Below are 13,138 nucleotides of genomic sequence, written 5' to 3'. Positions count from 1 at the left end.
AACAACAACAACAAAAAACTTAGGAATATACCTAACCAAGGAGTCGAAAGACCTCTCCAAGGAAAACTACCAAACACTGCTGAAAGAAATCATAGATGACACAAACAAATGAAAACACATCCCATAGTCGTGGATGGGTACAATCAGTATTGTGAAAATGACCATACTGCCAAAGGCAATCTACAAATTCAGTGCAATCCCCATCAAAATAACAGCATCATTCTTCACAGAATTAGAAAAAAAATTCTAAAATTAATATGGAACCAAAAAGGAGCCTGCACAGCCAAAGCAAGACTAAGCAAAAAGAACAAATCTGGAGGCATCACACTACCTGATTTCAAACTATACTATAAGGCCATAGTCACCAAAACAGCATGGTACTGGTATAAATATAGGCACATAGACCAACAGAACAGAATAGAGAACCCAGAAATAAACCAAAATACTTACACAAACTGATCTTCAACAAAGCAAACAAAAACATACAGTAAAGAAAGGACACCCTTTTCATCAAATGGTGCTGGGATAATTGGCTAGCCACATGTGGGAGACTGAAATTGGCTCCTCATCTCTCACATTATACAAAAACCAACTAAAGATGGTTTAAAGACTTAAACCTAAGACCTGAAACTATAAAAATTCTAGAAGATAACATTGGAAAAAACTTTCTAGACATTGGCTTAGGCAAGGATTTCATGACCAGGAACCCAAAAGCAAATGTAATAAAAACAAAGATAAATAGCTGGTACCTAATTTAAATTAAAAAGCTTTTGCACAGCAAAAGGAACAATCAGCACAGCAAACAGGCAACCCATGGAGTGGGATAAAATCTTCACAATCTATACATCTGACAAAGGACTAATATCCAGAATCTACAACAAACTCAAATCAGTAAGAAAAATACAATCCCATCAAAAAGTGGGCTAAGGACATGAATAGACAGTTCTCAAAAGGAGATATACAAATGGTCAACAAACTTATGAAAAAATGCTAACATTATGAATGATCAGGGAAATGCAAATCAAAACCACCATGTGATACCACCTTACTCTTGCAAGAATGACCATAATCAAAAAAATTTTAAAAAGTACATGTTTGCGTGGATGTGGTGATCAGGTAACACTTCTACACTGCTGATGGGGATTTAAACAAGTACAGCCACTATGGAAAAGAGTGTGGAGATTCCTTAACTAAAAGTAGAACTACCACTCGATCCAGCAATCCCATTACTGGGTATCTACCCAGAGGAAAAAAAGTCATTATTCAAAAAAGATACTTGCACATGCATGTTTATAGCAGCACAGTTCACACCAGCACAATCGTGGAACCAATCCAAATGCCCATCACTGAATGAGTGGTTAAAGAAACTGTGGTGAGTGTGTGTGTGTGTGTGTGTGTGTGTGTATGTATGTATGTATATATGATGGAATACTACTCAGTCATAAAAATGAATGAATTAACAGCATTTGCAGTGACCTGAATGAGATTGGAGACTATTATTCTAAGTGAAGTAACTCAGGAATGGAAAACCAAACATTGTATGTTCTCACTGATATGTGGGAGATAATCTATGAGGACACACAGGCATTAGAATGATATAATGGACTTTGGGAACTTGTGGGGAAGGTTGGGGGGAGAGAGAAAAGACTACAAATAGGGTACAGTGTATACTGCTTAGGTGATGGGTGCACCAAAATCTCACAAATCACCACTAAAGAACTTACTCATGTAACCAAATACCACCTTTACCCCCAATAACTTATGGAAAAATAAAAAATAAATGCATCAGGTTAATAGAGAAACATATTATTTATGTAAATTAAAACAGATTTTAAGTACTACAAATATCTTTTAATAAGAAATCAGAAGTGCTCAGATTAAATATAATCTCTTAACATTTTTATGAGTTCCCAAATAAATGCAATATAAACATATTGAAAAAAATTATCCATTTCTAACATTTCAGCATCCATTGCCAACACACTCTCTAAGATTATCGCAACCATCTGAATACTACATTAAATACATGCAAAATACTTTCCTATATTCTTCTCATTTAGTGTAGAAGGAATTGGTATATTGAAATGACATTCATATCCCAGCAATTAAAATAATATGATTTAGATAATGTTATTTGATGTGGTGATATAAACCAGGACTTTGCAGTGTGATTTCATGTATTTAGAAACATTATTAGCCATTATCTGTTTAAATATGGCTTCTGCCACATTCTGGGATGCATATATATTAGACCGTTTTACTGTGTTCTCTATCTTTTTGTGTCTCCATGCTTCATTCCAGGTATTTCCTTCTGAATCTTAAGATTTAGTAATTTTCTATTTACCCCTGTCAAATTTGCTGTTAAACCCATGCACTTAATTCTTATTTTTCACTTACTGTATTTTTAATTCTAGAATTTCTTTTGGATTATCCCTAAAATATGTTATGTCCTTTTTATGGTTTACAGTTCTCTGCAGCGTTCTCAATCTTGTGTCTAATCTCTTTCAATATAGTCCATGTGGCTGCTTAAGTCACATTTCATATATATACATATACACATACATACTTTAAAACGTATAAACTTGTTTGTATATACATACTGTATATCTCTATATAATACTTTCCCTAATATAATTATACATATAAAAGTATATACATACACATATGCCTCTTTAATAGCCTGTTTTCTCAATTGCAATTGGGATTAACAATGTATATGTCTCACAGGTTTATTATAAGAATTAAGAATGATAATATTTATGGGGTTATTACTAGAGTTCTTGATACATATACTAAGCATGCGTACATGGGTGTTCTTTCAGTAAAATTAGACATGACATGATATAATTTAAAAATCAAGGTCTTCGGATAATGATACTATTTTTTTTCCAAGGCAAATGATAACACTGAGAGAGAGTAGCCTTTCAGTATCAGATACAATTGGACCCTGCTCGGTTTCTGCAAATACCATCTGTATCACCTTGGGCAATTTACTTAGCTTCTCTGTTTTTCTGTTTCCTGCCCTTATCTGTTTTTCTGTTTCCTGACCTTATAAAACGAATTGAACAATATAGATTTTACAGGCTGATTTGTGAATTTAATGTAATATGTGTAAGGTCCCTGGCATATTACACATGTAGCAGGAATGTATCTTCATAATCATATTAAATATATTTTTCAGATTTTCTAATTTTGTTAATATTTGAAACTAGTAATATAATTGAGTTTGCTGACAATTTAGGAAAACATGGCAAAGTGTGAAACAATTAAGTGATTCTCATTCTTTTTTCCCTTTTGATAAAGTTTTTGACACTTTGCCACCAATGCGCTATCAGGAGACCATGAGTGCCATCAGGACATGGGTCCAGCAGTCAGAAACCAAACTCTCCATACCTCAACTTAGTGTCACCGACTATGAAATCATGGAGCAGAGACTCGGGGAATTGCAGGTCTGTGAATATTTGAATGTCAAAACAATAAAGCACGCTTATCAAGCATTCACATTGATATAACCTTTAAATAATATTAGAATTTAAGTCATTCTGACAAGTATGGTAGTTTGCCCATTGAGCAAATGAAAATGAGACTTTACAGTATTATTTATGCATATACTCTATCTATGGATATATATGTATGGGCATATATACATGCTGTTTTTGAAAACAATTGTATGATCTATTTATGAAGTATATTTTTAATTTAGCATGCATTTTCAGATGTATTGATTTTGATTATTAGAAAAACCATTGTTTTATTCCCCACCTTTGCTTCTTTATTTGTAACTCCTGTCACATTCTCAAACTGGTGGGTAAAATCAGTGTACAGTCATCCCTTCGTATCCATGGGGAAGTGGTTCCAGGAACTCCTATGAATATCAGAATTCACAGATGTTCAAGTCCTTTATATGAATGGTGTAATATTTGCATATAACTTATGAACATGCTCCCATATACTTTAACTCATCTCTGGATTACTTATAATGCCTAATACAATGTAAATATTATGAAAATATGTGTTATACTGTATTATTTAGGAAGTAGTGACAATGAAAAAGTCTTACATGTTTAGTACAGATGTAGTTATTTTTGTCAAATATTATCTATTAGTAGTTGACTGAATCCACTCATTCAGAATCCACAAATATGGAGGGCTGGCTATATTTATAAAATTGGTTTAAATTTAAACATTAATTTTCTGTAATGTAATGAGACATTTGAATTCTAATAGCTACATTTTTTTAACATCCTTCTATCAGGAAAGATATACTAATATGGGAAATGAAAGAAATAATTTGTAAGAGATTTTATAATACTTTTCCTACTTTATTTTATTTTTAGACGGAGTTTCATTCTTGTTGCCCAGGCTGGAGTGCAGCAGTGCTATCTCGGCTCACTGCAACCTACGCCTCCCGGGTTCAAGTGATTCTCCTGCCTTAGCCTCCTGAGTAGCTGGGATTATAGTGCGTGCCATCACGCCTGGCTAATTTTTGTATTTTTAAAGTAAAGATGGGGTTTCACCATCTTGGCCATGCTGGTCTCAAACTCCTGACCTCAGATGATCTGCCTGCCTCAGCCTCCCAAAGTGCTGGGATTACAGGTGTGAGCCACTGCGCCCAGCCCTTTTCCTACTTATTATAAAATACTACATTATATGTTCAATAACTTTTTATTTCTGAAGACATGAAAACGTATTAGTTATATTTAGAAGCTGAGATAATATGTGCATTTTAAGAAAAATGTTTAAAAATTCAAATTTAAACTTTATCACATAGAATTTTTTTTGGATAATTAAATATTTTTTTGAAGTAATGTATTCAAAGAAAAATACATTTAAACAACTTTCATTATGTATTGTCCTATTTAGATATTTATTCTACTACAATACCAAATGGTAGCTGTTTCACCTTTTTTGTTTCCTTTTGTTGTGGTTTTTAATGCTTGGCATAATGATTCCAAAGTCTATCTGGAAAAATGTGTTGCCTAATAGAACTAGTAAACTTTTAAACATAAGAATAAAAATGTGCAAGAATAAGAGTGGAGAAAACACAAGAAAAGGCAGTTAGATGAGCAGAAGAGACTATTTCCACTGAAAAAGATAGGAAAGAAAATAATTGTTCATAAATATTATTGGGAAATGTATTAACTAACTAAAAAAAAAGATATGAACATTTCCCCCAAAGTTACACCAAAATAAAAACCACATACAATAAAATGTTCAAAAAATGTGGGGAAGCCCAAATTTTGGAAAATATTTAAAATAATAATGTTATAAAAATTTAGGTGGAGAAGCATAAAAATCGATGGAAACAATCACAAACATTGTAAAAACACCAGAGACAATTTTAAAGAAATATGATACCAAGGAATCTTTTTTTTTCTGTGAGTAAGGAAGAAAGTCTTGAGTAAGGTATCCTCCAAAAAGAGACATATATGAATAATAAACCTATGAATAATTGTAACTTAAATTGTAAAGGAAGAAGTAAAAAAATTACAAGATGAGAATTTTTTTTGCATACTAAATTGCATACACACAAAAGATATAAGTACCAATTTGCAAGTGGTGAAATAAAAATTGTCTCTTACTGCTGGAAATGTAAATTCAATATGAATTTTACTGAGGTTAACTCTTCAGTGCATCCTAATAACATACAACATTAATATAATTTCCATGAAATCTGTATCTGATGGAAATAATCAGAATACACTCAAAGATGTAAATGGAACTGGAGATAGATAGGATATTGATTGATTGAGGGATGGATGGATGGATTAGATAGGTAGGTAGATAGAGATAAACATAATTTACAGGAGTGGAAAACTAGAAATGAATGTGTAGAACTAATAATGGAAATTGTTGAACTAGAAAAGCCATTACAATTTTTGTTTTTGAAAAAATAATTATTTGACATGGGCAAATGCTCACACTAAAACACCTAGCTCAAAGTGTAGTTATATGCTAGATATTGTCTAAATAATCAGTCATAGGGGAACAATTTGAAAAAGTGAAATAAACTTAAAAAAGTAAAGTAAAAAAACAAATTAAGTACCACCAAATAGGCATAGGATACTATGAAACTATAAAACTTAGATATTTGACAAATTTTGGGTTGATATAGGTCACATTATAGGGGAAAGAATAACTGTTTATATGTGCATACATGATCATATATTTAATATTTAGCTATACATAGAACAAATTGAAAATTTATATAAAGTACTAGTAGTTCTGGTTTTTTTTTCCATTTTTGTCATGAGCCTTTATTATTTTATAAAGTAAAAGTAACATTAAAGTAAATATTGAACAGGGGAAGTCTAAAGTTATGATCCTACTGTAAGAAATTACATGTGTTATACAGAATAAGTATAAATAAATTTTATAAATTCTCCACAAAACTATCCTTGAATCCCACCATAATACTACATAACAGAATAACATTTTTTGAAAATATATTAAGTACATAGATTGTTCAATAAGTTTTTCTATTCCATATATCAATATTATTAGCTATAGTTTTATGTAGAGTTTACTTTCCTGAAAGCTCAGTATAATTAATTTCAACTCCATTAACTGTATCACAAATGCAGTTATTAATATATATACTTAATTCAGTAAAATTAGATGCACCAAAACTTTTTGGCTCTGTAAGATATAGTTTTGAGATATATTTGACATTGTTCAGAAAAATACATATGGAGTGTTAAATACCACTAAATAATATTCAAGTTACTCTTAGGATAATATGTAAAATTTAAATTACCACTAGAAGTTTATAACTGATAGAAGATCATCTACTTTGTTTACATGTTTGAATCATATAGATTTCAAGTACAGTTAATTTCACTAAAACTCATCAATTATTATTCATCAATTAGGGTAAATGTATTTAAAAAATTGTTTTTTAGGCTTTACAAAGTTCTCTGCAAGAGCAACAAAGTGGCCTATACTATCTCAGCACCACTGTGAAAGAGATGTCGAAGAAAGCGCCCTCTGAAATTAGCCGGAAATATCAATCAGAATTTGAAGAAATTGAGGGACGCTGGAAGAAGCTCTCCTCCCAGCTGGTTGAGCATTGTCAAAAGCTAGAGGAGCAAATGAATAAACTCCGAAAAATTCAGGTAATTCAAGATTTTACTTTCTACCCTCATTTTTATTTACTTGTTTTTTCCCTAACGATACACTGTAAACTGTAAAGGTACATAAGCATTTGACCTTCAGCATCTTTCAAAGTTAGTGAGAAGATGAAAAGACATGAGTCTTTTACAAAGGATGGCGATTTGCTTATTCCTTCTAGGAAAAGAATAGGAGTTTTCTCAGTGTTTTTAGAATGAATTTTCTATTTTCACCATTACCAATAGGAATTAAACATGTTTTTAGTTTAATAATTTTCAAAACCAATCATCCATTTAGTCTGGTTGTCTTTTAAGATACGGGTAATCATTTAGCTTATGACTAGAAAAAAGTTATGTATATATACATTATACAGAGGTATATTGTAATCATTTTATATATATAATGTATAGTATGTATATGATTATTTCCTATATTACCTTTCATTTCTGCTGTTTTGCTACTTATAAAAAGTAGGAGTCAACTATGCTGTCTATATGTGCTATTATATATAAAATATGGTGATATGTTCATAAAATTGCATTATATATTCATCCCATTATGTATAACTCCATATATGTATATGTGCAGTAGAAATGTAGGTGTATTAATGTCCTATGATACTCCTAAGAAATTAGCAGAAATTTAATGGCTTCAAACAACACAAATTTATTACATTACTGTTCTGGAGGTCAGAAGTTCAGAATTAATCTCTGTGGGCTAAAATTAAGGTGTTAGCAGAACTGTGTCTGTTTTGGAGACTTTGAAAGAGAATGTGTGTTATTGGCATTTTTAGCTTCCATATATATATGTATATATATACACACACATACATATAACATGTATATATGTGTGTATATATATATATATATACGTGTATAATGGAATTATATATCATGTACATATATACATATCTAATGTAATATATATCACATATGTAACCTGTTGTATATGTATATTAATGTTACATATGTAATATATAGTAATAACTTATTTTATCACCATATCGAATTTGTAATTATATGCTTAAATTTTACCACATCACCTTCTTCCTGAAACCAAATTCCCTTGACTTAATTTGTTTGAATAGTGCCACCATACTAATAACCACTCAAGCTAAAGAAAAACAGTAAACCAACAATTGCATTAAGGTCTAAAAGCCTAAAATATTCAATAAGGTAAGTAATGTGTCCCTTGAGTGGTCAATTATTGTGACAAATGTTAATGCTGGGAAGGAAATGTCGAAAACGTTATGGTATGATGGAAAAACATTGCAACAATATGCTCCTGGATTTAAATCCCAGTCTAGCTGCTTAGTTTTTGTGCTTACCTTTTACAAACCAAAGCACTAAGCAAACCTAAAACATTTTTTAATGCATAGCATTTCTTTACTTATAAACATATGTGTACATGCATACCTATGTAAATACTGCATGAAAATATCTATTATTTGTCAAGACCAGTGGCCTAAGAGGGCACAATTACATGGCTCTTGTTATCAAGGAGCCCACATTCTAGTGAAGGAGGAAGGTAGGTGTATTCATTTCCTATGGCACTCCTAACAAATTGCCGGAAATTTAATAACTTCAAGCAACACAAATTTATTAGAGTTCTGGAAGTCAAAAGTTCAGGATTAGTCTCAGTGGGCTAAAATTAAGGTGTCAGCAGGACTTTGTCTGTTTTGGAGGCTTTGCGACAGAGTCTGTTTTATTGGCATTTTTAGCTTCTAGAAGCATTCCTTGTCTCATGTCCCCATCCTCCATCTTCAAAGTCAGCAGTGTAACATCATCTAGTGTCAATTTCTCTCTCCCTGTCTATCTCCCTCTCCCTCTCTTTCTACCTCTCCTTCTCACCTTCCTTTCCCTATCCTGTTCCCTGTGTTGACTTCCTTTTAATTAGGACCTTTGTGATTACATTATGCCCTGGTGGATGATCCAGTATAATCTCCCCATCTCAGAATCCTTAATGTAATCACATCTGCAAAGTCCTTTCTGGTAATATACTCACAGGTTTCAGAGATTAGGGTGAGGACATCTTGGGGGTAGCATTATTCAGCCTTGCATGGTAAATAAATTAAACAGTATGGGAAAGGTTGTCACAGTAGGCAGGAAGGAAATCCAACATAAACTAGGAAAAAGGATTATGAAATATTATCGGAACATAGGTTGTCTCTGCTATAGATTAAATAGGTAGAATTTAGTTAGCTAATACCGAGAAAGAAAGAGTTCTTGAGAAAGCATAGCAGCATTTTCAGTTAAATGATATAAGTTCAACACTGGGTAGACAATATATATGGGGATTAATAAAATATTATGGTTGGAAAACTGGATTGAGAGTAGACAGTGAATGTCCTTGGATGCTATGTTTTACAATCTGAGTTTTAATCTAGTGGTGATGGGACTGATAATAATAACAATAAAAACTTAATAAGAAAAAACTGCTATTGGTTAAAGAGGGAAATAATATGATTCCACTTGTGTTTTCAAAACATTCCCAAGATGAGAGGAAGGAGGAGAGGAGATTACTGGCATCACTGTAGATCAGTAATTAGAATGAGGTGAGACCGAGGCAGATATCAAAACGAGCCAGTGCATTAATGGAGTCACTAATGAGACCTGAACAGCCCAGGCGTAGTGGCTCATGCCTATAATCCCAGCACTCTGGGCAGCTGAGGCAGGTAGATCACGAGGTCAAGAGATCAAGACCATGCTGGCCAACATGGCGAAACCCTGTCTCTACTAAAAACACAAAAATTAGCTGGGCATGGTAGTGCACGCCTGTAATCCCAGCTACTTGGGAGGCTGAGGCAGGAGAATGGCGTGAACCTGGGAGGTGGAGGCTGCAGTGAGCCAAGATTGTGCCACTTCACTCCAGCCTGGGCGACAGAGCAAGACTCCATCTCAAAAAAAAAAAAAAAAAAAAACAAAAAACAAACAAAAAAAAAAAGACCTGAACAAGGACAGTGAAGATGTGAAATAAGAACAAATGTAGACTTGAAAGATAACAGCAAGGTGATCGTCTTGAAGTTCTCTTAGATAAATAGTTTAAAAATTATTATTAATAATCACATTAAAGGGGAAACTTTCTGTGGAGCACATATTTTCAATGTAAATTTAAGTAAAACAGAAGAAAATAACACATGTAGACAGCATAGTTGAATCATACTTTTTAGAAGTGGCAAAACAGCAGAAAAAAAGGTAATACGGGAAAGAATCATGGGTGAGAGATACTGGCTATTTATAAATGATAAAAGATGATGATTTTTACCTGATCATTACTTCGTACTGGTCAGACAAATAAAAGCAAAAGCTCTGTCTTTGAAGATGACAAAATATTAGTCCAAAAGTTCCCAACTGGAAGGACTATTTAAACTGTCATCTGTAGAAAATAATTTGTGAAAGTTCGGGTTTAGGGAGGCTATAAAGACACCATTACATTGAGTTTATTGTTCATAGTTTGTTTTATGTACTGTAAGGACACATTTTTAGTATTCTCATGAGTTGTTTTGTAACTTAAAATTTCTCTAGAGGGGGATATGATTTAATGTTCTCGAGAGTAACATCATAAAACCACATTTGGTAGTAATTTTGTATTTTTAACAATAGCAGACTTCACACACCAGTGCTCATACAGTAGACCATAAAAATGCAGTCTTAGTAAAAATATTCTTTGCCTCAAGAACTACTTAGAGACATCCTTTAAACATGGGAATTGTTTTTGGGCCTGTGTTTAGACATAACACAATGATGAATTGTGTTAAAAGTAATCAGCACACCAGTAATGCCTTATAACGGGTCTCGTTTCAGAATCACATACAAACCCTGAAGAAATGGATGGCTGAAGTTGATGTTTTTCTGAAGGAGGAATGGCCTGCCCTTGGGGATTCAGAAATTCTAAAAAAGCAGCTGAAACAGTGCAGAGTAAGATTTTTATATGATGCCTTTAATATGAATAATTTTGTATGAATATTATTTGGTTAGATCAGTGTTTTACAGCTGGGGTGGATTTTGCTCTCCTCTCCCCAGTGGATTTTTTTTAATGTTTCTAGACGTTTTTGATTGTCACAGCTGGGTTGGGGGTGGTGGTTAGATGCTACTGGTGTCTAATAGGTAGAGGAGAGAGATGCTGCTAAATATCGTACAGTCCATAGAACATTCCTCCAGAACAAGGAACTGCACAATCTAAAATGTCACTAGTGCCAATGTTGAGAAACCCTGGGTTGAGTAAATGAGGAACTGACAAAACATTGCCTTGTACTCAACCTCATTTGATAACATTATTTTACTATAAAATGCAGTATAATTTAAAGGTAAAGAATCCTTTGAGCTACTTGTTATTTCTTATGATAAATTACTATTCATACTGTGTTGTTCTCTTCATCTATAATGCACTGTACTATAATATAACACAGTATGCATTTTGAAATAATATTCATTATACCATTGTCATGCAGCAGGAAGAAAACAATCTTGCTCTTTAAGGAAATTTTTTTACAATACAAGCTAAAAAAGCAAATCCACCTCACAAATAACCTTCACACCCATTACACTGTAAACAATTTCTGCAGTATCCTGTGTTTGAAAATGAAAATACTAACAAAGATAATAAAGTATGAAGCCCATCATTTTCACACATTTTTCTAACCAGAAATATTAAATTTATTTCCTTTTGTTTCTGATATAAGTAGAATACAAATAATTCCCCACTGGATTCATGCCATAATAACCATTGAACATTTTTGCAAGACTGTTAGGCAGTCATCTATATCAATATCTCTGTATCTCAGATTTTAAAAGACAAAAATCCATATGCAATGCCATCAGTCCCAATTTTACATTTTCTAGCTATGTTTCATATCTAATATGTGGCAGTAATTTTTTTCAGCTGGCTTAAATTGATTTATTTTCTTAGCTTTTAGTCAGTGATATTCAGACAATTCAGCCCAGTCTAAACAGTGTCAATGAAGGTGGGCAGAAGATAAAGAATGAAGCAGAGCCAGAGTTTGCTTCGAGACTTGAGACAGAACTCAAAGAACTTAACACTCAGTGGGATCACATGTGCCAACAGGTATAGACAATCTCTTTCACTGTGGCTTGCCTCAACGTACTTAACTAAGATTTCCTAATGTCTCCCTTCACCGTTACTTTTGGTTAAGGCTTTGTTCCTATGTTTTTGCTTTAAAGCACAATTAATTCTGACAAATTAATCTTTTTTCTAGCATATCTAAATATTTTCATGGTATATATTTTAAATAGTACACATTCATCTTATTTTGATCCTAAAATGACTTTCTTGAACACAACTGTCATACTAAAAAATGAAATCCTATTCTTAGTCATTATTTCCAATCCATGTTTTCTTCAGAACATAAATGTATAATAATAATGGGATTAAGAAAAATTTGTTACACGGAGATATTTGGTACAAAATAAAATGCATGGCTAATATATGTGTATGTAGAAATAGGATAAATAATTATAACTTTCGATTAACATTTCCAAGTTTGGCCTCTTCGACACATTTATTATTTATTTATTTTATTTTTTGGGACAGGGTCTCCCTCTGTCACCCAGGCTGGAGTGCAGTGGTGTGAACTCGGCTCACTGCAGCCTCAACCTCCTGGGCTCAAGCAATTCTCCCATCTCAGTCCCCACAAGTAGCTAGAAGTACAGGTGTGTGCCACCATGCCTGGCTAATTTTTTGTTATTTTTTGGTAGAGACAGGGTCTTGCTGTGTTTCCCAGGCTGGTTTTGAATTCCTGGGCTCAAACAATGCTCTTTCCTTGGCCTCCCAAAATGCTGGAATTATAGGTGTGAGTTACCACACCTGGCTGACATCTAGTTTTAAATAACAATTAAGATTCAGTAACCATTAAGAATAGCTGAATTTCAAAAAAAAACACACACAAAATGACTGTACACTCATATTTGAGTTTCTCATTTTTCTACAGAAGAATATTTTATAGATATCTCTCTTATATTTAAATATTCAATTACGGATAGTAAGATATATTCAAAAATAGTGTATATCA

General features: G+C 32.8%; 1 protein-coding gene across 17 annotated transcripts in view; it reads left to right on the top strand.

The window, feature by feature from the left end:
• Positions 1-13,138, top strand: part of DMD (dystrophin) — a 2,220,167-nt gene that overhangs the window by 863,776 nt on the left and 1,343,253 nt on the right. For all 17 annotated transcript variants that reach the window (XM_006724469.4, NM_000109.4, XM_011545467.2 and 14 more), the window contains 4 exon segments: positions 3,304-3,449; positions 6,903-7,115; positions 10,914-11,027; positions 12,019-12,174. In XM_006724469.4, the coding sequence (XP_006724532.1) occupies positions 3,304-3,449; positions 6,903-7,115; positions 10,914-11,027; positions 12,019-12,174 (629 nt within the window).

Source organism: Homo sapiens, chromosome X (assembly GCF_000001405.40).
Source record: "Homo sapiens chromosome X, GRCh38.p14 Primary Assembly".
NCBI lineage: Eukaryota > Metazoa > Chordata > Mammalia > Primates > Hominidae > Homo > Homo sapiens.
The sequence above is the reverse complement of the archived record's forward strand: the minus strand, read 5'-3'. Positions and strand labels throughout refer to the sequence as shown.